Source organism: Homo sapiens, chromosome 18 (genome assembly GCF_000001405.40).
Source record: "Homo sapiens chromosome 18, GRCh38.p14 Primary Assembly".
Lineage (NCBI taxonomy): Eukaryota > Metazoa > Chordata > Mammalia > Primates > Hominidae > Homo > Homo sapiens.
Genome location: NC_000018.10, coordinates 14132696 through 14160019, shown reverse-complemented (window position 1 = coordinate 14160019; position 27324 = coordinate 14132696). Strand labels below are relative to the sequence as shown.

The following is a 27324-nucleotide window of genomic DNA, read 5'->3' as shown; positions in this document are numbered from 1 at the left end:
CTGTCCAACTTGGATGACTTTTCCATCTTTTTCTTGCCTAATTGCCCTGTCTAGAATTTCTAGTATTATGTCAAATAGAAGTAGAAAAAGTGGGTATCTTCATCCTGTTCCTGATATTAGGGGGAGAACTTTCAGTCTTTCACTATTGAGTATGTTGTTAGCTATTGGTTTTTAATATATGGCTTTTATTATGTTGAGGAAATTTCCTTCTGTTCCTAGCTTGAGGTTTTTTTTTTTTTTTAATCATGAAATGTGTTGAAATTTGTCAAGTGGTTTTTCTGTATCGATTCAGATGATCATGTGGAGTTTCTTCTTCATTCTATTAATGTGGTGTGTTACATTGATTTTTTGTTGTTGTTGAAGCATCTTGTGCTCCTGGAGTAAGTTTCACTTGGTCATGGTGTGTCATCCTTTTAATAGGCTGCTGATTTTGTTGAGTTTTTCATCACTATTCCTAAGGTATATTGGCCTGTAGTTTTCTTGTAGTATTTTTGTCTGGCTTTGGTATCAGAGTAATATTGGACTCATGGAACTAAGGGGGAGAAGTGTTCCCTTCTCTTTAATTTTTTGGAAGTGTTTGAGAAACTTTCTTCTTTAAATTTTGGGTAGAATCAACCTGTGAAAGCTATCTGGTCCTGACCTTTCCTTTGGGAGCTTTTTGATTACTGATTTGATCCCTTTACTAGTTATAGTTCTATTTAGATTTTCTATTTCCTTATGAGTTAGTTTTGGTAGATTGTGTGTTTGTAGGGATTTGTCCATTTTGTCCAGATTATTCAAATTGTTGGCATACAGTTTTACATGGTATCATCTCATCATCCTTTTTAGTTTTGTAAATAAGTAGTGTCACCACTTTTTTTTTTTTTTTTATGGAGTCTTGTTCTTTCATCCAGGCTGGAGTGCAGTGACACGATCTTGGCTTACTGCACCCTCCACCTCCTGGGTTCAAGCAATACTCCTGCCTCAGCCTCCCTAGTAGCTGGGACTACAGGCGTGCACCACCATGCCTGTGTAATTTTTGTCTTCTTGGTAGAGACAGGGGCTTTACCACATTGGTCAGACTGGTCTTAAACTCCTGACCTCAAGAAATTCACCTGCCTCGGCTTCCCAAAGTGGTGGGATTACAGGCATGAGCCACTGCGCCTGGCTGTGTCACCACTTTCCTATATTTAGTAATTTGGTGTTCTTTCTCTCTGTCTCTCTTTATTTATTTTTTGGTTAATCGAACTAGCTAGAGTTTTCTCAACTTTTTCAAAGAATCAGCTTCTGGTTTTGTAATTTGTCTCCATGTTTTTCTGTTCTCTGTTTGTTCTCACTCTAATCTTTACTATTTTCTTCCTTCTGCTAGCTTTGGTGTAGTTTACTTTTTTCTGGTTCCTTGAGGTGTATGGTTAGGTTATTGAGTTGAGAATTTTCTTGTTTTTTTAATGTAAAGGTTTACAGCTTTAATTTTTTCTTTTAGCCCTGCATTCACTGCATCCTGTAAGTTTTAGTGTATTGTGTTTTCATTTTCATTTGTCTCAAGACGGTTTCTAATTTCCTTCATGATTTTTTCCTTTGATCTATTGGTTATGATTCACAAATTTTCCCATATTTGTGAATTTGTTAGTTTTTCATCTGCTGTTGGTTTTTCATTTCCATTATGATCAGAAAACATACTTTGTAAGATCTCAATTTCTTTAAATGTATTAAGACTTACTTTGTAGCCTAATATATGGTCTGTTTTGGAGAATGTTCCATGTACACTTGAGAAGAATATATTGTGCTGATGTTGGGTGAGTTTAGGTGTTGACATGTTACATTTGAGCATACATGTAGGTGGAGATGTGAGATATTCATTTAGGAGAAAAGCCAAGGGAAGAAATTTGTTAATGAACTGTAAAGAGGGGTTGACATTCACAAGAATATGTAATTTTTTTTTTTGAGAAACAAATTTAGAGTGACAGAACAGCCTTGAATATATTCTTATTTAGAAGGCTGAAGTTTGAATATAGCCTGGAGTGTTAGAAAAGGATGGAACAGTTTATCATAGACCAGAGCCAAGAGAGTATAATATTTAGATTTTAAATATCAAAAAGAAGATACGATCAGCTGAATTCAAAGTTGAAGCCTATGCATGGTGGCTCATGCCTGTAATCCCAGCACTTTGGGAGGGTGAGGCAGAAGGATCACTTGAGCCCAGGGGTTCAAGACCAGGCTGGCTAACATAGCGAAACCCTGTCTCTACTAAAAATACAAAAATTAGTCAGGCCTGGTGGCAGGTGCCTGTGATCCCAGCTACTCTGGAGGCTGAGGCGGGAGAATCGCTTGACCCCAGGAGGCAGAGGTTGCAAAGAGCTGAGATGGTGCCTCTGCACTCCAGCCTGGGTGACAGAGGAAGACTCCATCTCAGAAAAAAAAAAAAAAAGTTCAGAAAACAGCTCCCTTGTTTGGGAAGGACTGTTTTTGATATACCCTTAAAAATTCAATAAAGAAAATAGAAAAAAGATTTTTTTTTAATTTGAGAAACATTTAAATGATGACCACTACTTAAATTATGAAATTGAAAACCAGAAATATAAATTATGCACTCTTTATAGTATGAGTTTTAGAGGTTGTTAATTTGCTATCATATTAGGTAAATCTGGAATAGAAGAAACTTCATAAATTATCTTATCGCTATATTTGAATTCTGTAGAAGTTGTTTCCGGACAGTCTATGAAAAGCTCTTGCTGGCCACGGAGGAAGTAGGCAGCTGACAAAAAGTTCTGCAATTGCCTGTGCCAAACTGTGTAAAGCAAGTACTTACATCAATTGGGAAGATAACGCTGTCATTTTCCTACTTGTTCAGTCCATGGTGGTTGATCTTAAGGTAATATGCTTATTCTTTCTCTACTACAAAGTTTAAGAAAATTAAATTAATTTTCTAGCATAAGTATTATGTCAAAGAGAATTGCTAACATTAAAGTTCTGATTCTTCTTTGATAAGTTCATAGGACTTGCTTTTGTTGTTACTGCGTTCATCAGTCTAAATGGACTGAGAATATGAAGAAAACACTGTTTTCTTAAATGAGCATAAATATACCGACTTGGGTTTAAAATAATGTGGCAATCAGGGCCTGAAAGGAACCTATATATGGTACAGGAAGAATTGTATCAGGCGGATGAACCACAGTATTGGTGCTTTGTGCTGCTTCTGGCAACTGAATTTTACTGCCATCTATATGGATAATGTGTTGATGTTATTACATATTAGTAAAGAAATACTGCATGGGTATTTAAAGGCTTTTGTTTTCTGTTGGGGTTTTTATAGAACCTGCTTTTTAATCCAAGTAAGCCAGTCTCAAGGGGCAGTCAGCCTGCAGATGTGGATCTTATGATTGACTGCCTTGTTTCTTGCCTTCGTGTAAGCCCTCACAACAACCAACAGTTTAAGGTGAGGGCATTGGTTTTTATCTAACTATGTTTACTGATGCCATTATCCTTTATAAACGGAAAGACTAGAGGGATAACAGGTTCACCTCTATCGGCATTTCTCACTATTACGTATTGATGTTCATTTCAAGACCTTAAAAACTTAGTGTTTTTTAAAAAACTTTCTATTTGCTGTTCTTTTTGACTTCATTTGTATTACTGAGTATTTTTCTCATAGAAATAATCTGCTTTTTTTTCTTTTTCTATAGATCTTCCTGGTGCAGAATTCACATTCTACATTTCACTATGTGCTGGTAAATTCACTCCATCAAATCATCACCAATGTAAGTCCAATAGGCATTGCTAAACTACTAAAAAAAAAAATTTTCATTATTTTCTTTGCATATTTCTTTTTACGAAACGCACTCTTGGTTTTCAAAAAGGTTCTGAATTTAGATGTACGGAATAGGAAAATTTCTCCATGGTGATTATATTTGATAATTGATAAATACTTGTATTTTTCATAGTAAGCCTTGACCGAAGGGCCCATATTAAGGAAGATGGAGTTAATAAGATGCTTTGGAAAGATAAATCTAAAGCATTTTATTCAGATCAAAAGCCCTAGAGAAAAATGGCACTGAAAATATAATATAAAATTTTCATCCCAAAGCTTTTCAAACATATTATTTGAATACTCTTAGCCCTTTCACAGCATTTGATTCGTTGACTTGCCACCTTACCATTTAAGTTAAAAGTAATAGTATTTATGTTGTAGTCCAGTATAGCACACTGACAAAATGATGGGACTATATTTGATGGTACTTTAAAACCTTTTGATCTTAAATTTATTCATATTGTAAAATTTCATTTTTCTTAAAATAAAATATTAACATACTCTAAAAGAGGTATTCACAAGATACAAAAGCATATCAAACAAAATAAGTGAAATCATTAAAAGGTACTTGGGAAACCTTCAACTCTGATATGGTGACATTAAATAGAGAGCAAAACTTTATCAGATTTGGACTGTGGATTTTTAAAATTCTAATTATGAACAACCCAGTTTTGAAAGTTCTCAGGTGTTGGCCAGGCGCAGTGGCTGATGCCTGTAATCCCAGCACTTTGGGAGGCCAAGGTGGGTAGATCACGAGGTCAGGAGTTCAAGCCTGGCCAAGATGGTGAAACCCCATTTCTACTAAAAATACAAAAAATTAGCCGGGTGCGGTGGCAGGCGCCTGTAATCCCAGCTACTCGGGAGGCTGAGGCAGGAGAATTACCTGAACCTGGGAGGCGGAGGTTGCAGTGAGCTGATATAACGCCATTGCACTCCAGCCTGGGAGACAAGAGTGTGACTTCATCTCAAAAAAAAAAAAAGAAATGGTTTAGCACTTATTACTTAGTCATTGCTTCCATATTTGTGTACATTGCTATTGGTCCCATAAACTGATACATTTCTTGCAGTCTTTTTGGAACGCTATTTGGCAGGAGCTATACAAACATTTCATTTTTTTTTGTACAAATAATTCAATTTCTATGACTTTAAAAATATTATGAATATAACTCAAAAGGAAAAAGCTGCACACATAGGTACTTATTACTCTTGATTACAATAGGAGAATATTAGAACTTTACTAGGAGGAGAATGGGTTAATATTCAATAATGAGAATGGTATTTTAACTTGGTGAGCTGATAAACATTCATTAAAACCTATATAGGGCCGGGCGCAGTGGGTCTCGCCTGTAATCCCAGCACTTTGGGAGGCTGAGGTGGTGGATCATAAGGTCAGAAGTTCAAGATCAGCCTGGCCAAGATGGTGAAACCTGTCTCTACTAAAAATACAAAAAAAAAATTTAGCTGGGTGTGGCGGTGGACCCCTGTAATCCCAGCTACTTGGGAGGCTGAGGCAGAGAATTGCTTAAACCTGGGAGGCGGAGGATGCAGTGCCCCGAGATCACATCACTGCACTCCAGCCTGGGCCACAGAACGAAGCCACGTCTCAAAGAAAAAAAAAAAAAAAAAACCTATATAGATCTGCGGGGCATGGTGGCTCATGCCTGTAATCCCAGTACTTTGGGAGGCCAAGGCGGGCTAATCATGAGGTCAGGAGATCAAGACCATCCTGGCTAACATGGTGAAACCCCGTCTCTACTAAAAATACAAAAAATTAGCCGGGCGCGGTGGCGGGCGCCTGTAGTCCCAGCTACTCCGGAGGCTGAGGCAGGAGAATGGCGTGAACCCGGGAGGCGGAAGTTGCAGTGAGCCGAGATCGCGCCACTGCACTCTATCCTGGGTGACAGAGCAAGAGTCTGTCTCAAAAAACAATAGCAACAACAACAACAACAAAAACCTATATAGATCACATAGCAATAAGGAAAAACGATACGTCAAGTGAGTATACTGTGTTTATGGCTTTGTTAAAACGTGGAAAATACAAAAAAAAGGGAACATGAAAAAATCAAAGCAGGGAAAAGGCTAATACGTTTTCTTTCAATATATATTTTTAAAGTTTTATCAAACAAAAATATAGAGAATTTGTCACTTGAAAAAGCTACTGCCAGTAAATTGTACCAAGTTTTGGTACAATAGTAGCAAATTTGATTTTTAATTTGTGTTGTTTTTTTTTGATAGGAGAGCTTTAAATTAATAGTTTTTTGAGATTCTCACAATTAATTGCAATTTTCATTAAATATCTCAAAGTAATTACAATAACAATGTTTGAAATGAGATGATATGGGTCTGGCCTTTATACGTTGATAAGTTGACCAAGGACTGAAAGGAATGTCCAGAGCTTCACAGTGTCTGCTGGGTTGGGGGTGGAGGGGGGGTGGGAGGAATGTGAGTTGGGATTGTAGAATTGGAGTTAAGATAGGATAAGTTTGAAGAAAGAGTTTACGTTTTATTCTTTATATCTTTGATGGTTTTAATTTATGTAATAATCTATATGTTATATATTGTAAGTGAATTATTTAATTCCTGTTAATGTTCTCTGAACCAAATTCCAATTTCAGTTCTATGGTCCATTGAAATACTTTAGAATGGATAATCTGTTATGAAATACAAAATCCATTTTGCTTCCTCTCTCTTGATTTTGAAAAATAGTTGCTCTTTTCTGTTACGAGAGACTTTGTGGCAAGTGAGACGATTTTTACTTATCTTTTGCTGTGTGTATTAATTTTGGCAAGCCCTTCTTACTTGGGGATTAACTTTTTGTTTCACAGAGTTCTTTAATATCTGTTGAAATTATTTTGTTTGTTTCTTAAAGGAATTTTTACAGTTGTATATTGTTCTGAATTCATCATTTAGGTTTATATGGTTATGCCAGTTAGAGTAAGAATGATGGGAATAAAATGATATCATTCTGTCTATATTATTCCCTAGAGGTTTGTGTTCACCAGAGTTTATCTGTTTTTACCTTTTACTATGTATTGAAACTACAAATGAAATAGCTCAATTTCTTAGCATTTATACAATAAATACTCCAGCGTTATGTTTACCAAACATGTTTGAGTGAGTCTTCTCTTTGCCTTTCTCTTTTTAAAAAAAATTCAGGCTCTGCTGGTTCTTCGTCAGTTAGATAGCATTGATTTGTGGAATCCTGATGCTCCTGGAGAAACATTTTGGGAGATTAGGTATATGTACTTTTATTTTTTAAATTCAACTTTTAAATTTTATTTTGTATTTTTTGTCTTGAAATATTAACTCTATAGTATTTAGTATATTGTAAAACTTATACTTCCAAAGGTTTTATGATTTTGTATTTTTCTGACTTCAAATTATTAGAATTTCTTGTTTTAACTGTAAAAAAAGTGTCACAGCAATTTAGAAAATAAGTTTTAAGAATAGTGCTAAATTTTGTCACCCAAACATAAGTACTGTTCTTTGGTATATTCCCTTTTTCAGATTTCAGTGTGGTTACTACTGTGATTTTAATAGATTTTCACAGTTTTAAGCCTAGAATGATAAAATTTTGTAAAAATATTGTTTTTTCAGTTTTTTAAGCTGTGTGATCTTTCACAAACTTTCTGTAATACGAATGCTTTTGATGAATGAATTAATCAGGGACAACTGCTTAGAAGACAAAAATATATACAGAATGTTGTGGTCTACTTCCTAGATTATATAAGTCATTACATTTGCATGAGCATAAAGTCACCACACTGAGGAAAATGGAAATGTGTAAACCTCAAGTTTGCCATTATCTTATAGGAATGGGTGTGCTAAGTTACGTGGCAGCTGAATTAAACCTTACTCTAGAGCAATGCTCTCCAATAGTAATATAATTAGAACCCCATATGTTAAAGTTTCCTACCTTAAAGAGTAAAAAGAAGCAGGTAAAGTTAATTGTATTAATATTTTATTTAACCCAGTGTATATTATCTGTAATATAATTTCAACATGTAATCAATGTAAAAGTTATTAATGACATATTTCATTGTCTTTTTTAAATAAAGTCTTCGAATTTTGGTGTGTCTTTTATACTTGCAGCACATCTCAATTTGAACAAGCCACACTTAAAGTCCTCGATAGCCATGTGTGGCTGCCCAGTGGCTACCATGTTAGACACTGCAGCTCTAGAGTAGGGATCAGGAAACTTTTCTCTTAAGGCCAGAGAGTAAATATCTTAGGCTTTGCGGGTCATACAGTTTCTGTCATAACCATTCAGTTCTGCCTCTGAAGCATGAAAGTGGCCACAGACAATATGTGAATGAACGGGCGTGGCTGTGTTTAACTAAGACTTTATATTTACAGTAGCAAGTGATAGGCTGGATTTGGCCTATGGATGGTAGCTTGCAGACCCGCTGTCCTCATTCAGCTACCTCTGTCCCCCAGGGGAGTGCCTAGGTGGCCAGAACCTCCTCTGGGCTTCAGCCCATGCTGCTTAGGTCCGGGCTCCCTTGGGGAATCTCTGAACATGCACCTCACAGTCTCATGTTTGTGTGGTGGACGATGTGCACATGCCTGCCCATCCTGTGTGGAATCCTCACGTGCTTGAGAGTCTAAAACACTTCTAATAACTCATGAGGAAGACAAAATTATAAAGGAACTTTTCAAATACTTAGAACTGAAGAATAATAAAAATACTACATAGCAAAATGTGTAGAATGTAGTTAAAGTTCATTGTATACAGGGAAATGTAGCCTTTTAAAGACAGACTGGAAAAGAAGAAAGGCTACAAATTAATGAGTTAAGCTTCCAACTTAAGGACGAAAGAGGCAAGGCATGGTGGCTCATGCCTGTAATCCCAGCACTTTGGGAGGCTGAGGTGGACAAATCACCTGAGGTCGGAAGTTCAAGACTAGCGTGACCAACATGGCAAGACCCCGTCTCTACTAAAAATACAAAAATTAACTGGGCATGGTGGCGGGCGCCTGTAATCCCAGCTACTCAGGAGGCTGAGGCAGGAGAATCGCTTGAACCTGGGAGGCAGAGGTTGCAGTGCGCCAAGTCAGACTCTGACTCACGCTACCGCCCCTGCCACCCCCAGTTGTTTCAGAAGTGCTGCCTGGGGCAGAGGATCCTGGAGGCCTGGGAAGCCAACGACCACACACAGTAAGAGCCACTCGGACACGGAGGGACCCAGCCTGGCCAGTCAGGGATGCAGAGACGCACCTCAGCCGGGCACTGGTGATGCTGCGTGCAGGACTGCATGCTCTGGTGGAGCGCTGGGTGTGCGACACAGCTCCACACTCAGGCTGCCATGCAAGGGGCCCTCCTACTGGGTGGACAGCTGCAAATGCTACTTGGGGAGGGGGCACAGGGAGCTGACAGGAAGCAGTCCCATCCCCACCAGGCACCTGCTCTGGCCCCTGCCCAGCCTGGCTTGCCTAGACTTTGCCCTCTTGCGGGTCCCCTGTCCATTCCTGATCTTCCCCAAGAACTCGGGTGCTCCATCAGCACTCGCACATGGGGACACGTTATTTTGGTCTTTCCGTGTCTTCTGCTTAATGGGTGCTCCCTCCGGTCAGGACACACGTCCTGCCTATTGTCCTGGACCCAAAGCCATCCCCACCCATTCATTGTCCTGCTGGGAGCTGTCTGGCTCTGGGCGATATGAGGAGGGACTCACTGGAGCTGGGAGGGGTTTGAGTGCAGCTGTGGGGAAGCAGAGGCTGAGCTGGGCCGCACAGCATGGAGGTCCCACCCGACCCTCCCTGCAGGGTGCTGAGCCTGAGCTTTGTAGCTGACAGCGTGGGCTCAGCTCCTGCGCCACTGCTGCCACCAGCAGGGCTCAGGCCACACCACGGCCTTTCTGCCTCCGTTTCCCTGTCTGTAAAATGGGATGAGAGCAGTGTCTGTCTCCATGTCTGTCTCAGTGGCACTTTTGGTAGTGAGGTTGGGGTGAGCCTGCTTCACGTGGCAGGTGCTGCTCAAACAGAAGTGTCTTGGAGGCAGGGCCGGGGGCACGGGCTCTGGGCAAGGGCCGGGCACTTGCTCTGGAGGTGAACCTGGAGGCCTGTGCCACTTGGCTCACCGGGTCATGGGTCTGGCAAGGTTGGGGCCAGGCGGCCACCCTGATGGTGCTTGTGGCTTTTAGGGCGATGGGTGGCATGAGGCGTGGGAACATAGGCCACCTCACGCAGATCGCCAACGTACTGGTGCAGAACCTGGAGTGGGGCTCTGTGCAGACGCACATCAGCGAGGTCATCTGAGGTGAGCCCCCCACCCGGTCATCCTTTTGCTGGTCGCGGGCACCGGGGCTCTGAAGGAGCTGCTGCCCGAGGCTCCCCTCTGCCCGTCAGCAGGTGCTGATTGCACTGACAGTGAAAGACCCCGCAGCCGTCTCTGTCCTCTCACTTCCCACATCAGATCTATCCTCAGGGGGACCTGGGTCTCATGTGTCAGTTCTGTTGGGCAGACTTCTGTGGAGACCTTACCAGGCGTCAGCATGTGGCACAAGAGACAGTCCCTGCTGGGGGCAGTTGGTGACTCTGGAGCTGGTGCTCCGAAGCCATTAGCGCTGCCAGGCTCCTTGCAGCTCATGGAGTCCTGCCTGGGTGCAGGCAGTCCTGGCCGTGTGCCAGCTTTGCTCTGCATTCAGGTGGTTGGAGAGTCTCACATTCTCACTCAGGTGTGAGACTTCATAGCACAAGTCTCAGGGGAACAGGTAGCACCCTGTTTCTTAAGAGCACAGTGGATTAGGTGGACACAGGCACACCACATGTGTGGCAGAGGCGGGCCCAGCCATGGCCCCTCCTCCCTATACCGGTACAAGGTGAGGAAGCTCTGGATGGTCCTCCCTGCACCCCAGGACCATAGGGTGAGGGGTCTCCTGGGTTGGGCCCCATTAGCCCCTAGCAAGGTCAGGCCTGCCGGCCACTGTCACAAATAATAAGAGCAGGGCAAGAGGAGGGCAAAAGAGATGGGTGGAGGTGGAGGCCAGGGAGGGCTCCCCAGGGCAGGGGTGGTTTAGGTAGGCGAGGGGCAAGCAGGAAGCTCTTGGATCATCCCATACAGTCTCCAGATTGTGAATCCTTCCAGGGTTCTGACCTCCCCAGAAAAACAGACAGGACACACACCCAGGCCTGTAGGCTGCTGCTGAATTTGGGCCTGTGAGGCAGGGTGAAGGAAGCTTGCTGCTTTCTCAGATTCTGTTCCACAGCTTCTGCGTTTCTGGGAGTTCCTCAGAATGGGCTTCCACACCAACAGACTTGGAACTCGGTTGCCCACTGAGGTCTCGGTAGGGGCAGAAGTGCCCCCCACCCTGCCCAGAGTTGCTGCACCTCAATCTCACTGTGGCCCCTGGCCCCTCCGGACACGCGACTATGCTGCCTCCTTCCCATCCAGCAAAGCTCCTGCTTCAGGCCCTCAGATGGACTGACCACAGTAGCACCGCCCCATCCTTCTGGACCCAGGATGCACCTGCCGGAGCGCCTGAGTGCCCTGAGCCACCTGCACGGGGTCTCCCAGGGCTCACCAGGCAGCACTTTCCTTGCAGGGCTCCCTGTGGATTGCCATGGCTGCTAGGAGAGCTTCGTGGAGGAGACGCTGACGGAGACCAACTGCAGGAACACTGTGGACTTGTTGAGGAGGCTCGGGGCTGACCCTCGGCACCCGCATGGTGCTGGGACGCAGGAGGCTCGGGGCTGCCCCCTTGGTGCATGCACGGTGCTGGGACGCTGTCAGACGCTCCTGTCTTTGCCCCGAAGCAGAGGCCAAGAGAGGCACAAGGGCCGCACACCTGCCTGCTCCTCTTGGACACGGGTGCCCGAGCATACCCTGCAAGTGTGCAGTCTGTCCTCCAGGCTGATGCCTGAAACACAGACCCTGTCCTGTGCCACACCCAGGGCTGGTCTCTGAGGACCTCTGTGCAGAGCCGGTGTTGGCCCCAGGTCCCTTCCCTCCCAGTCCAGGAGCTGTAGCTTGTTGGCAGAGGGCTCCATATGCCTGAGACCAACCTGCCCCCTGCACATGGATGTTGGGCTGTCACAGGACCTTGGCCTCACCTGGGCACCTCCTTACACAGCAAGGCCTCCTGGGCCCAGAGATCTGGTGAGTGACATGCTGGGTGGGGTCTGGGAGCCCTGGGCTGGGCAGGATCTGGGGCGCTGGGCTGGCTCACACACCCACCCCATCTGGCCTGTGTTTTAGGCAAGTACTCACTATCTTCACTCCTCGAGTGAGGACATTGAGGGTGCTTTCCCTAATGAGCTGTCCCTTCAGCAGGTGAGGGCGTGGCCGGCCCCTGCACCCTGCCGGGCCCTTCCTGGCACCTGTGTGCTCTGCACTTGGTCCTCCAGACAAGTCTCTGATGGCATCTCACTAGCAAAAGGGAGAGGGGGCTCATCTCCGAGCACGTATGGGGTGGGGTGGGTCTGAGGGGAGAACTCCAAAGTCACTCCACCTTGATGAGAGCACTGAGGACACAGCAGATAAACTCGAAAGTCAAAGAATATGGGACGTATCTCGGATGTGAGCACAGTGAGCACGCGGCCTGAGTTTTGGTAGAATCGTGAGCCCTGAACAGTCAGAGTTTACTGCCCACTTTTGCTGGAGGAGAAGCTCCTGAACAACTAGAGAGACTGTGGTTCCCAAAGAGCAGCCGGTAGGCCTGAGGACTGCTCTATGACCGGCGTCAGTCCCTGCCTCCCTCCTTCCGTTCCTCCTTCCCTCCTTCCCTCCCAGGACTTCTCTGACTACCAGATCCAGCAGATGACGGCCAACTTTGTGGATCAGTTTGGCTTCAATGATGAGGAGTTTGCAGACCATGACAACATCAAGTGAGTCCACTTGGATGCCCCCTGCACGAGGCGCGACTCCCCCTCCTCGCTGCTGAAGTCCCATGGGGGCAGCTCCCTTAGGCCTTGCCGGGAGATAACAGGTGTTTCCAGTTGCGTGAGGGTGCTGAGGCCCCCAGTGAGCACCAGGGGAGGAGCACTGAGGCCTCAGATGAGCACCGGGGAGGAGTCCTGAGGCCCCAGATGAGCAGCAGGGGAGGAGCACTGAGGCCCCAGATGAGCAGCGGGGGAGGAGCGTTGAGGCCCCAGATGAGCACCAGAGGAGGAGAGCTGAGGCCCCAGATGAGCCCCGGGGGAGGAGCGCCGAGGCCCCAGATGAGCAGTGGGGGAGGAGCACCGAGGCCCCCAGATGAGCAGTGGGCCGGGCGGGGAGCGCCGAGGCCATCCCCCTTGCTCTTGCAGCGCCCCATTTGACAGGATCGCGGAGATCAACTTCAACATCGACACTGAGGAGGACAGTGTGAGCGAGCGGGGCTGTGCGGGGTCATGCAGGCACCCTTTTCCCAGGCAGCTCAGGCCGCGCCCATGGCTCGGTCTGTCGTGGGCCTGTGCGGTGGGGCTGGGAGAGGCCCCTCTGTGGAGCTAGGGACAGTCGCTTTTCTTGACCCTTCCCATCATGCCCTCCAGCCCATGGCGCCCACATCCTGAACTAAGCCCCTCTGGGAGCCCTGTGGGGAGAGCGCCTTCTCCCCCAGACCGTCTGGAAACTGACCTTGGCGTTTTACTCTGCAGCCCAGCGCAGCTCTGAGGCCTGCTGCAGCGACCGCATCCAGCACTTTGATGAAGACGAGGACATCTCGGAGGACAGCGACACTCGCGGTGCTGCCCAGGTGAAGGCCAGAGCCAGGTGCGGGGCCTGCCCATCCCCCCAAAGCCTCTGCCGAGGAGGTGCAGCCCCCAGAACACCCGTCAGATGCCCAGACGCCCTGCTGTTTGTTATGCCGGCTCGCAGAAAAGGAAACCCGTCCTGCAAGCACTGGCGCCCAACGCAGCGGGTGACACTCAGGAGCCCGGAGCTGAGGCCTGGAGTGACTTGTGCTCCTCACTCAGGGCATTCTGTGCTCACCCTCAGCCTGGAGCCTGGTGCTGTCACTGACCCTCAGTGTTAGGCATCTGTCCTGGGCCACCAGGCATCTGACTCTGCATCTCCCCGAGGTTTGGAGCCCCCCATGCTTCAGAGAGCTGCTCAAAGAATGGCCCGGAGTGCGGAGGCCAGGATGGGAAGGCGAGCTTGGAAGCAGACGGTGATGCGCCTGGGGCAGGTGCCCCCCAGACCCTGGAAAGAACAAAGCCCCTCCTCTGGAGGGTGACTCAGAAGGTGGTGCTGTGGGGCCGGGGACGTGTGTGTTGGGGACAGGACATGGTACCCTGGCCTAGGGGTGTGGAGGCTTCATTTGGAGCTGAGGCATTTGGGGCTCACAGTGGCCCGAAACCTGCATCTCCAGCTCTTTCCCAGCCATCCTGAGTAGGGGTCTGTGCTGCCCTGTGCCCGGCACAGGGTGGTCTCCTGCCCCTGCCTCTCGGTTGTTGTCACTCCGCCACTGTCACCAAGGTTGATGGGTGGTGTCCACCTAGTCCGCATCGTCCACCCGGCCCCCATACAATGCGGCACAGGCCTGATGCCCACCCCAGCGCAGCAGCACAGGCTGGCCTCCACCCTCACGGCTGACATCTAGGACAGGAGCCAGTCCACCCTGCAGGCTGCGTGGCTGATAAGACCCCTCTCCTTACCCCTGCCCTGGGGGCAGCACTGACCCACTCAGGATTTTGGGGAGGGGGCAGGGATCTCTGTTAGGAGGTGCTGAGCTCTTAGCTGAGGCCAAAAGAGAGAGCAAGGGCAACACCCTGGGGAAGCAGGAACGTCCCAGATAGGAGGAAGGCGGCTCATCCTTGAGGCCAGGGAGGGCCCAGTGGTGCTTGGTGAGCTGCCGTCTCTGTTGGATGCGGTCCTGGATAGGACAGGGCAGTGGCATCACCTCCACACTGTCAGCGTCAGCCATGCTGGAGGCCTAGAGGCCCTCAGGCACCTTACTGAGCCTCAGGTCATGGAGGGCAGTGGCATTGCCTCCACACTATCAGCGTCAGCCCTGCCAGAGGCCTAGGGGCCCTCAGGTGCCTGACTGAGCCCCGGATCATGGAGGGTAGTGGCATCACCTCCACACTGTCAGTGTCAGCCCTGCTGGAGGCCTGGGGGCCCTCAGGCGCCTGGCTGAGCCCTGGTTCACATGCCCCATGGATGTTGGCAGCTTGTCAGGACCCTCGAGCTGTCCCCTGTTATTCTCTGAGGGGCTGAGGGGCACTGCCTGGGCCTCCCTCCTGGAGCAGCCCCATGTTCCTGTCAACCTCTGTGGGGCCCCCGGTGGGGGGGGTACGCTGCCTCCCCTTTGCCTGCAGCACCCCAGACAGGCCTGCCCACACCTGACCACTGTGTCTCTCACCCAGCAGATGCCATGTGGATGACAGTGTTTGATGAGCCAGCGAACTCGACGCCCATAGCCCCAGGAGGGGTGAGGGACATGGGTTCCAGCGTGTGGGCAGCTGGCACCTCAGCTCCAGAGGAGAAAGCCTGGGCCAGTTCACCGAATTCCAGCCTTTCTGCTGGTAACAAATGTATTGGCAGGAAGGGGCCGTGTCAGGAAGTGCCTGTCAGGGTCAGGAGGTGCCCGTCCCCCGGGACTGACCCTGTCCTCGTCCTTGTCTGTAGCTCTGAATCAGGGCCCAGGTGCAGCTCTCTGATGGACACAGAACACAGCCAGGCTGAGGCAGCCAGAGCCAAGGCTTCGAGAAAGCCTGTGAGTAGCAGCAGTGCAGGCAGCACCCAGCCTCCTGCAGAGGCCTAGCCTTGCCCAGTGTAAGGCCTGAGGCCAGCTGGCCCCCCTCCTTGGGGTCAGTGGGAGAAGGTGGCCAGGACCCCGCATGCTGCTAGGTCTCTGGTAACATTGAGGTTTGATACAGCAGTGGGACTGGAGCAGCCACGTGCAGATGGGGAGGCCCCCAGCCCCCAGAGGGGAGGCAGCAAGGCCATTGGGCTGGCCCTGAGCCCCGTCTGAGCAGGTGGCACAGCCCAGGTCTGCACCCTTGGTTCTAGACAGCAGCACCAGGACCCCAGCATTGAGATGTGTGTGGGTGGGTTGTTGGCAGGAAGCCATTCTGGGGCCTGATCAGAGCCCCTGGCCCCCAGGCCCCTAGTCAGGCCGAGAGGCTGCCTCAGACAAGGCTGAGAGCTCCAGGCGAGCGACAGCTGGCTTCCAACACGGGTGTCCCCGGTGCTTGAAGGAGCTGTGGCGGGACCACACAAGGCAGAGCGGGCCCCTTCCTGAGCCTCTGCGTCCTCATGTGAGACCAGAGCACATTGCCCTGTATCATGGGGGAGGCAACAGTGTTGCTTGTATGGAGACCACATGGAAGGTGTGTGAGCCTGTTAGCCTCGTCATGCTGTTTCCACACAGGTACACGTGTGCAGGCAACAGGCTGCATGTGAGAGGGCTACACGTAAGGGATCCCTATGGCCGGGGTTGCCACACCCTGTGGCCCCTCCTGCCTCACTGGACAGCACAGGCCTCCTACTCTGCAGTCAGCCCAGCTTCTCCATGTACCTCCGTGTACCTCCGTGTGTGTCACCAGGAAGGCCCCCCTGCTGGCCTCTGACAGCAGCTCCTGTGGGGGCTCCGACAGCGATACATGACGACCAGAAGGCAGTGAGTGCCATGGATGCTGTGAACACGGGTCCGGGCCGGGAGGCCCCCCGCTCCCGCTGCCCACAGTGGCCAGGACAGAGGAGGCTGTCAGCAGGTGTGTGGGGCGTGGGGGGTAGGTGGGCAGGCCTGCCTGGGTGCAAAGGCTGCGGCTTCCAGGCTCTGTCCCCAGCTCTTAGCTCCCTTGCGAGCAGGTTGAGGCCAGGCCAGGGGTCTTCTCCACACTGCTTCCCCGATGGCCCCGTGACCCCTTACAGGCTGGCTCGGGGTGGTCATGCCCACGCATTTAAATAGAGGCAGGATGGGAGGAGTGTGGGGGCTTCCTTCTTGGACAGAACATCTGTGTTCTCTGTTGTGAGTGGTTAAGACAAGAAGACAGGGCCTGGATGTCCCAGACAGTCCCCCAGGGACTTGGTGGGGGCAGCCCCTACCCCAGATCCCAGTTAGAGAGAACAGCCCAGCTCTTGGGGCTCTGGGCCTGGCTGAGCCACCTGGGATCTGGGTACCCTGGTGGTCGGGGAGGGGCACAGACTTTAAGTCCAGCAGGTGAGCAGGCATCTGTGAGGCTCATGCAGACCTCGCCTGCTGCTCCCCTTCCATGGGAGGCCTATGATTTGCAGATGCCTCAGAAGCCAGGACAGTAGGATGGGGGGGGCGGGGGCCTCAGGACTGCACTTGGGGCATCCAAACCCTGACTGAGAGTTGGAGGCAGCTTACAGATGGGCAGAGGCTCAGGCTCCCTTGAGCCTCCAAGAGCCATTCCTGGGGAGAGAGTGGAGAGGGAGGCGCTCCCTGTGAGGAGGCTGGAGTATGGCCATCCCCTCCAGCAAGCTGAATCCCATCCATCCCCCTACAGGAAGAAGGTCCCTGGCATCCTTCAGTGAACAGATACCTCTTCTGGCCTTTGGGGTCAGGGGTTGGGAGTTTAGCAGGAGGGCAGGACAGCTGGGGTAGATGCTAGGGCCAGGTAAACCTGAGGGGGAAGGTAGGACTGGGCTTGAAGTGGGGAGGAGGGCACACCCGGCAAGGGCAAAGCTGTGCAGAGGCCCTGGGGCCTGAGCTCCCAGTAGGTCCAGGCAACAGTGGGGAAGTCCTTGGGCTGGATTCCTCTAGGAGAGGACAAGGTGCCTTTCACACCTGGCGGTGCATCCCAGTCACTCCTGTTTCCATGCTTGTGAAGGACCTGCCTGGAGTGGGGTGAGGGTGCCCCCAGCCTCGCCGCCCAATGCAGCTCAGCCTGCAAGCGTCCCACCTGTCCTACCCTCCCCCGACAGGTGGGGCAGGTCTGACACCTCAGAGGACCCTGCCCACTGACCCCAGCAGTCCTGGAGGGTCTGTGTGGTATTGGCGCTCTGGGTATCTCCCCCAACCAGGCTGCAAGCTCAGTGCCAGGCTGGCTCTCCCTGCCCTGTTGACCAGCAGGCCATGTCTGTGCTCACAGCTCCTCCCCTTGTTTGGCCACGCTGCCGTCAGGGCATCTGCAGCAAGTGGGGGGCACAACACGGGAAATGGGGCCAAGGCCACAGCAGTGGATGTCCCGATGCTGCCAGTCACTGGAAAGCCCAGGCCAGAGCCCCTCGGGTTGAAAGTCATACAGAGTTCCTGCGTGGGCTTCATTCCTTCTTAAAGTTTAGTCACTGAAATTCTTAAAAATCTTTATCCAGCCAGGCATGGTGGCTCATGCCTGTAATCCCAGCACTTTGGGAGGCCGAGGTAGGTGGATCACGCGGTCAGAAGTTCGAGACCAGCCTGGCCAATATGGTAAAACCCATCTCTACTAAAAATACAAAAATTAGCCAAGCGTGGTGGCACACGCCTGTAGTCCCAGCTACTCGGGAGGCTGAGGCAGGAGAATCACTTGAACCTGGGAGGTGGAGGTCACAGTGTGCCAAGATCATGCTACTGGACTCTGGCCTGGGCATCACAGTGAGACTCCATTTCAAAAAAAAAAAAAATCTTTACCCTCGGCTGGGTGTGGTGGCTCACACCTGTAATCCCAGCACTTTTGGGAGGACGAGGTGGGCGGATTGCCCAAGCTCAGGAGTTTGAGACCACCCTGGGCAACATAGCAAAACCCCACATCTACTAAAATACAAAAAATTAGGCAGGCATGGTGACGCATGCCTGTAGTCCCAGCTACTCAGGAGGCTGAGGCAGGAGAATTACTTGAACCTGGGAGCCAGAGGTTGCAGTGAGCAGAGATCGCACCACTGCACTCCAGCCTGGGCAATAGAGCGAGACTCTGTCTGCAAAAACCAAACCAAAACAAACCTTTACCCACTTTTCCTAAACAACCCCTAAAAAACTTTGCTCTGAAAAGCAGGGAATATCACTGTGCAAAGTAAGTTGCTTTTCTCCACGGGGCTATCTGTGTAAAACTTGCCACTGAGAGCTCTCCCTGCTCCGCTGTGACAGCCCAGCCTGCAGGTGAGCTTGCTTGCACTCCCACCTGATCAGAGCACGCCTCCCTGGGTCAGACACTCAATATCCTCGCCCTGCAGGAGGCCAGAGGGCCCATCTGCTGCTCATGGCCAGGCTGGGCCTTGGGGTGCCTGACCCCTTCCAGAGCAAGCCCCTTAGATGCCCAGCAGAATCCTCTCTCCCCTCCTGTACCTTGGGAGGTTTCCCCACACTATGCCCAGTGTCAGGCTGAAGTTGGGATCATGGCACAGGATCCTCTGGGGCCCTCAGAGAATGAGGTGCTTGATGATGAGCAGAATCTGAACGCAGCCTGGACGGAGGTTTGAGGTCATCAGTGGACAGACAGCTTGTCCCAGCACTTAGAACTCAGGGCAGCAGAGCTGCCTAGCTGGGCACAACCTGGGCCACCCCACAGAGGGCAGGAGTGGGAGAGGCCAAAGGTGGTGATCCCAGGACATTTTTGTATCTTTAGTAGAGATGGGGTTTCACCATGTTGGCCAGGCTGGTCTGGAACTCCTGACCTCAGGTGATCCACCCACCTCGGCCTCCCAAAGTGCCGGCATTACAGGTGAGACTCACCACACCCAGCCTATTTTTTTTTTTTTTAATTTAAGACAGTCTCACTCTGCCATTCAGGCTTGAGTGCAGTGACGCAGTTTCGGCTCACTGCAATCTCCACCTCTTGGGTTCATGGGATTCTCCTGCCTCAGCCTCCTGAGCAGCTGGGATTACAGGTGTGTACCACCACACCCAGTTAATTTTTTTTTTTTTTTTTGTATTTTTAGTAGAGACAGTGTTTCAGCATGTTGGCCAGACTGGTCTCAAACTCCTGACCTCAGGTGATCTGCCCACCTTGGCCTCCAAAAGTGCTGGGATTACAAGTGTAAGCCATCATGCCCAGCCCAGAGTGCAGTTTAAACCACCATTTCTGTGAAGCTTTCTTTGCCTGTTACCAGGTACTACCCATACATACACTACCCACGAACAAAGAAATGCGCGTTGTTCTGTGCTGCACATCACCATTGTAACAATTGTGATGATTTACTTTACAAGTTTCTCTCCCCTCTAGACTGTTGGCTCTCACATTTTTACATCTTTATCCTTTCATGAGTATTTAGCATGGTGTCGCCTTGTAGTGAATGCTTCATAAATATTTGTTAAATGAATGAATTTTAACTGATTATCTTTTTCTAAGCCACATGTTAAGATGTTCTTGTCTGTCTTTCAGTTAGGACTTTATTTTTACTTTTAAATTCAGAGCTTCTTGATGGGTGTTCTTTCTAAATAATTATTATTTAGCAACTGACTGTCATAAGAGATCCAAAATACATCAAATATCTAACAGAAAATATAAAATATGTAGTAATCTTAGCCCTCAAGGAAACCCAGATTTCCCAATTCTGAGTATATTGTTCAAGTTCCTTTTTCAGGACAGCGCAAGGTTCTGTCATTTATTTTTGTCTTTGTTTTTGTTTTGAGACAGTTTCACTCTGCCATCAAGGCTGCAGTGCAGTGGTGTGATCATGACTCACTGTAGCCTCAACTCACTGTAGCCTGAACTTTCTGTGCTTAAGTGATCCTCCTGCCTCTGCCTTCAGAGTAGCTGAAACTATAGGCACACGTCATCATGCTCCACCTAAATAATTTTTTTTTTTTGAGACAGGGTCTCACTATATTGCTCAGGCTGGTCTCCAAATCCTGAGTTCAAGCAGTCTTTCCACTTGACCTCCCAAAGTGTTAGGATTACAGGTATGAACCACTGTACCTGGCCAATTTTTTTATTTATTAACAAAGTGTTTCTAAAATTGTCACTGCCGGTCGTTTGGAAGAATCTGAGAAGTAGCAGCTCTGTTCTTGTTTCCAGAACTGCATCCTCTGCTGAATAGGTCTGGGTGCCCCCAGCGCAAGCCTCACCTTATTCACTTACTGACTCAGTTATCTCCTGACTAGAGAAGAGGCAGACCCATCTCCATCCTAGGAGGAGCTCTTAGTTCCTCCAGACAGGGATGTCTCCCTGGGACCAGGCAGTGTGACTGGGATGAGCCATTCATCATCAGGGAAGACACAGGCTACCTGGGTAGTCATGGTGTAGAATGCCTCCAGCACAGTGCCCAGAAGCCCCTGAATCTGGGAAGAAAGCTACTTCCACATCAGGTGAGAATGCACCTCTGCCCATACCTGGACTGGGTCTTGATAACGCCCTCAGAAATAGCATGCAGGGAGTCACCAGTCTTTTGAAGTGGTGGTGGTTGGTCTCTCGGTAACCAAGATCTGGGCTGCTTGCTGTGCCCAGTGGCACCCCTTGAGGGTCTCTTATGGTGGGCATCACTGGTCTTCTTAATTTGCTACTGTGTCCATCCTCAGAGTCCTTTGCTTTCTTTTTCAAAGTCAAGCTGTGCTCATATCCTAGACTCTTTCCTGTGGAGAAAGCACGTGAGTTAAAGATTCACCACAATAGTTCACACAGAAGCTCATTCCAGAACCTTCCCATGCACATTCAGGTGACCCCCACTTGTCACCTCCCACTTGCCAGCTCCCTCAGCCTGCCTAATAAAGTGAGATTGAGTTCGCTCCTGGGTCCCCAGATGCTCTCTGAATGCCAGGATCTCTAAAATTCTTTCAACCACCAAGAAGACCCCTTCTTACCCAAGCCTTGCTTGTCTTGCTTGTCTGTTAGGATAAAAAAGCAAGACTCTCTACCTGCTCTATCTTGTCAGGTGTCCTTGAAATTATTTTTTTTCTTCATTTCTTCTGCTCATCTGAGCTGGACTCTGATTCTGTTGATAAAAATGGAGTGTGTGTGAGTGCCTCCAACTGAACACCTTGGAAGCCTTAGTCCATTTTTGATACACTAGAGATGAGGTTTCCACAAAAACTCAGCTCTCCTCTGTGCTCCAGCGCCCAGGATCTGTAAAGTGCTGCATTCAAAAACGCTCTCAGTTTCTTTCCCAGGGGAGACTGTGTTAATCTATATCCTGTCCCTTCTCACCTTGGGAGAGTCAAGTCTTACTTGATCTAGCATTGCTGTTTCTGGTTTTGAGCTTAGTTTTCTTGGAATTCTATTTCCCATTTGGATTGCGGTCTGGTCCTAGTGGAAAAGGGAGTTCGGGTGATTCACCTCTCTGTAGACCCAGAGTCCCATAATCTATTTCTGACTCATATTTGTGGGTCATTTTCTCAACTGATGCTGTTCAGCCAGCGTCAAAAGTGAGTGGGAAGAATACAGTTCCAGGAGATCATCACCACATTTCTCAAAGCCACCTGAGGGCTGTAATCCATTTCCTGTCCTCAATTACAAAATAAACTCCTATCAAAGACATACAGCTTAGTATCCTTGATTCCACCCCTCTTTGCAACCTTCATAAGAACAGCCCAAGGTCTTACTTGAGCTTTGAGTGCAGCTCTCACTGGAATGGAAAGAGAGCATCTTGCCTTTTTCTTCAAATCATTTCTCCTCCTCATCTGAGCCCCTTTCTGCAAAGGAGATATGTTGGAAAGGGGGCTGGCCAGTGAGGTCTTGGATGGAGGCACAGTGAGAATTTTGGTCTGTAGTTCCCCATTCCATGTTGAAGCTCAAACAAAAGGTCCTCTCTCTTACACATCCAGATTCAGAGCGTAGCATGTTATGCTGGACTTGTCTTTTTTAAGTCTCTCTTTGCTTCGTTTTTGTTTTTGTTTTGTTTTGTTTTTTTGAGACAGGGTCTCACTCTGTCGCCCAGGCTGGAGTGCAGTGGCGTGATCTTGGCTCAATGTAAGATTCTCCTGCCTCAGCCTCCTGAGTAGCTGGCATTACAGGCGCGTGCCACTAGGCCTGGCTAATTTTTGTATTTTTAGTAGAGACGGGGTTTCACCATGTTGGTCAGGCTGGTCTCAATCTCCTGACCTCATGATCCACCTGCCTCAGCCTCCCAAAGTGCTGGGATTACAGGAGTGAGCCACCGTGTCCGGCCATAAGCCCCTGTTTATAAGCATGGCTCACTCTTACTGGCTGAAGAGATTGATTTCTCTTGCCTGCCGCTCTTCATAGCCTCCATAAGGAATGTTTCAGGATGTGATTATGCTGGGGATTTAGACACACATAAGGGGAGACTTTTGCAGAGTCCTGCCATAGCATCAAAAAACAAGATATAACAAAACCAGGAGGCACCGGGACTAGAATGCAGGAGGCTCATCACCTTTTGTTTCCCGGCCCAGTTCCCACCCAGGAGTACTCAAAACTCTGCCCAGATTCAAAATGCAAAATTAAACAGACCATATATTAACAGTTGTATATATATTTTGCACATGAAGAAAATCATTATAGTATTACAATTGTGTGTGTATATATATAGGCCATAATTTTTCAAATGCTTGGAAATGACAAATATTAAATTATACTTGATTGTATTAAATATATATATATATGATAAAATAAAATTCTATGATAGGGGATGTGGCATCTTGAAGGCCTAGTTGGGCTGCGTGTGCCATTAAGATATACAGGGCTGCAGAAAAGTAAACCCCAAATAGAATATTCCTTTATCCCTTGAATGTTGGAAGGATAATTAGATCAGATATGATCACGTTGAATTGATCAGATTGGAGCCAGTGCTAACTCAATCAACTTCCAATTCCTAAGGCAGCAGAAAGCCCAGCTGGAGAGGGAAACTTCTGCTCTATCTCACCCTCCCTCATTCATCCTGGGAGCCACATTGTGTTCTGTAGAATTTGCTCAGGATTCACAATCTGAGCTGATAAACTTACCTGGATTATCGTAACCCTTACCATTTTGGTATTTTCTTTTTGTTTCTCAGTTTAAAATGGGTTGTGAATATTACTAATGCATCATAAGTTTTCAGACACCCAGTATGTCACTTGTCTGGGTCCAGTCCTAGGAAATCAATACCTAAATTCAAAAAATCATCCTAAGATTAATCTTTGAAAGCTGCCTGTGATGATTCGGACTCACTGACCTCCCTTCTCTTCAACCTACAGAGAAAGCGAAAGAGCTACCAAGTCTTAGGGCACATGGACAGAACCAGAAGATGCCCAGTGAAGTGCTAGGATAGGGTACAGTCCCATAGCTTTTGGGCCAAATGAGAAGGAAAAGCAGAACCTGGGACCAGGAAAGCCCCAGCAGCTCCAGACTCCAGGACTCTTTACCAAGACTGATGGGAGGAACTAAGGCAAAGATGAGACACCTGTCACCAAGACACCTGTCTTGGCTGCTTCCACTTCTGACTCAGTTGTGTTGGTGTGAATGCAAAACTGGCTCTCTGGCTCCCAAGAATGTATAAATCCAGGACAGAAAACCAAGCATTTGGGCACCAGGCAAGAGGTCTTTCCAGATTCCCCAAACAGACTTTTCAGAATTCCCCAAAGATACTGAAACTCAGACCCATTCTGACCCCACCCCAAAAAGTATCATAAATGGAATCTGGGAGCCATTCAGAGTCTCCAGCCTCCTCTTTGGTGAAAATGGACTTGGACCTAAAAAGGCACCCCATTGTCCACAAGGACACAAATTCAGATGCTGAGCACTGGCCTCCTGCCTTCCGATGACGGATCTTACCTGAGTCCCATCAAAGCCCATACTGTTCCCCAACCTCCACCATCCAGACATTAGGAACAATCCCTCAGAACTGTCTTGATGAGATGGGACAAGCAGTGGTAGAGGTCCAGATTCAGAATGGTTGCCTCATCTTTCCCTTCTGAGAAGTCTATACCTGCTGGTCTGAGCCTTCATCCCTTACATGGCTTAGCCCATGTCCCAGGAAGTGCCCCCTAAAAGAACCTTCTAGTATTTTTCTCCCCTGAAGAGAGGGTCCATGAGACACTCTATGCCAGGAAATACATGACCTCCATTCTCACATGACTTGATTGACTGATAAACTGATACCCTGAGAAAGAAAAAGATGCAGGGAACATCTTGTGTGTGGTGAATCTGTGCTCCTCAGCTGTGGTGCCTGTGCAAATGGTGGAACCCAAAAGAATATTGGGTGGTAGACACACAGACCCTACCTAATAAAATTATGTAAGTTTAGGTTTAATATAGATGGAACTTATAATGTCATATAAAATGTTGTTACTTATTTTGTAAGAAAGCTGAGTTAGATTTTGTAAAGGCATTAAATATAATTTTAATGGGAAGCTATGAAAATTGTGTGCATTTGGTGTGTAAATGACTCATTTTGGGTAATTCTGTAAAGGCCACCTATGAATGTGAGTCATTAGTAACCAAATCTCCTATAGATAGCATATTGCATATTCATTTTAATGTATTCTTTTACCTGAGCTCAATTTTTCTTAATTTTATTCATCAAATTTTATACGCTTTAGATAAAAGACACCTTGTAGTTACCATGTGCTCTATGGATCTCTATTTTGTTAGAAATACAGATTTTCAGGCAAAACCCAAGTATATCGTATCAAAATCAGGTTTTTAAATAATATTCCCAGGTGATTCACATGCATATTAATAATTGTTAAGTGGGGGTAATTCTATAATTAAAAGGGAAAAGGTTATATGAGTGTATTTATTTGTTAAAAAGGTACAGAAAAGATTGTATGTTTCAATGTATATACATCTTATCTCATAGAAAATAACTAAAAACAATAATAAAGTGGGGATGGGGAATGAGTTGAAGTAGAAGTTAAACAGAAATGGCACATAATTAGTAGATGTTTAGGCTGAGCATCAGTCTATTATACTACATTGCTTATTGCATATATGTTTAAAATATTCTCTAATAAAATAATTGTATAAAAAGACAAACTTTATCTACAACATTAGCTCTTAAGATTGTGGTTACTTTTGGAGGGGAGGAAAAGAGAAAGTGGTTTGTGTGGCAGAAACAAGGCTAGTTCTATCCTATGCCTACACAAATGTATTTGTTTGTAATAATTTACTGAGCATTATGTTAATGCTTTGGACATATATTTCTGTATGCATGTCATTCAATAAAATTTAAATATTACATATTTAATCTTAACAGAATAATAGCAATGTTTGGTATTGTTTTGTTTGAAAGTGAGGCATTTAGTGTCAGACATCATGAGATGGGTATTAATATTCCAAGGTATTTATTCACATCCTGACTCTTGGGGGTCCCCCTCGATCTTTCATTTTTACCTCAATTGAGTAAGTAGCATGGTTGTAGTTTTGGGGAATGCAATTTTTTACAGCAAAGTCCTTCCTCCACGATAGTACTCACCACGGCCAGGACACTTAGCACAGGGCCCTGTACGTAGTGTGCACTCAGTGTGTGTGGAACTGGTGTGAATCAGAAACAAAACAAGTAGCAGAGGTCAGTTCTGCAAAGGATAGAAAGTAAGTAATCAAGACTGAAAGGCCGCAACTCAGCAGCAAACACTTCTATGTTAATTTGAGAAATAATTTCAACTGGCTCTCCAAAAGATGTTGGTTTAAAGCAGTAACATGGGAGTTGAGCTGTGTGCTATAATCACCCGAGAGCTTTAAATCACACTGTTGCCTAGGTCTCACTCCAGAGATTGACTTAATTACCCCATTGCAACTTGGGTTTGAAGACTTTAAACACTCCTCTACAAGGTTATTGAAATATGCAGCCAAGGGTGAGAAGCATTGATTCAGGGTGAGGAATACATTGGCTGTATGTGATTTTTATGTGTGCTTTAGGGATTTGCCCCATAGCTGCTCCTGAATGTGGGGTCTTAGAAAACATCTTTACCCTTCAAAGCATATTCTGCTGATTGGCTAAATTGCAGCAGGAAAAAATATCAGCAGCTCTGTCTTTATGTCACTTGCCTTCAAAGCAAAAGATTTTTCAGGCACAGTAATTTGATTTAGTCTGTGTTAAAAATCATAAATAGCCTAGAAATACAAAAAAAAAGAGGTGTTCAGGCCTTCACCTCCCTGAGATCGGAGCATCAGAGCCCTCATGGCTGCTGGTTTGAAGTAAAATGTGCTGCAAACATAAAATACACAGCGAGTTTAAAAGATTTAGATCCAAAATATTTATAATTATTTGTTGACCACACATGAAAAATAATATTTTGGGTATAATGGCTTAAAGAGTATTACAAACAATTTCACTTGTTTCTTTTTATTATTCCTATTATTTCTGAGATGGAGTCTTGCTCTGTCACCCAGGCTGCAGTGCAGTGGCACAAACTCAGCTCACTGCAACCTCCACCTCCTGGGTTCAAGCGATTCTCCTGCCTCAGCCTCCCAAGCAGCTGGGATTACAGGCGCCCGCCACCATGCCCGGCTAATTTTTGTATTTTTAGTAGACAGGGCTTCATTATGTTGGCCAGAGTGGTCTCGAACTTCTGACCTCTGGCCTCTCAGAGTGCTGGGATTACAGGCGTGAGCCACCATGTCAGGACTCTTTTTATTACTATTTTTGATCTGGCTAATAAGACATTTAAAATTCACAATAGCTAACGTTTTATTTTTTAGAGGATTGCTTCTCTCTTAAAATCTTAGGTGTCCCACTCCAAAGACCGGCGGCCAGAAAGGTTATGAAATCTGAAATATTAAATAATTGTCATTATATTGCTTCCATTTGTGAACAACGTGTGTGTGTGTTTTATAAACGAACATAACCTTCATAACGTT

At 47.3% G+C, this 27324-nt stretch overlaps 3 pseudogenes; 2 read left to right on the top strand and 1 right to left on the bottom strand.

Moving 5' to 3' along the window:
* Positions 2676-7223, top strand: NF1P5 (neurofibromin 1 pseudogene 5; annotated as a pseudogene).
* On the top strand, positions 8875-16471 carry LOC100631380 (protein phosphatase 6, regulatory subunit 2 pseudogene 1; annotated as a pseudogene).
* FRG2LP (FSHD region gene 2 family member L, pseudogene) lies at positions 20748-22310 on the bottom strand (annotated as a pseudogene).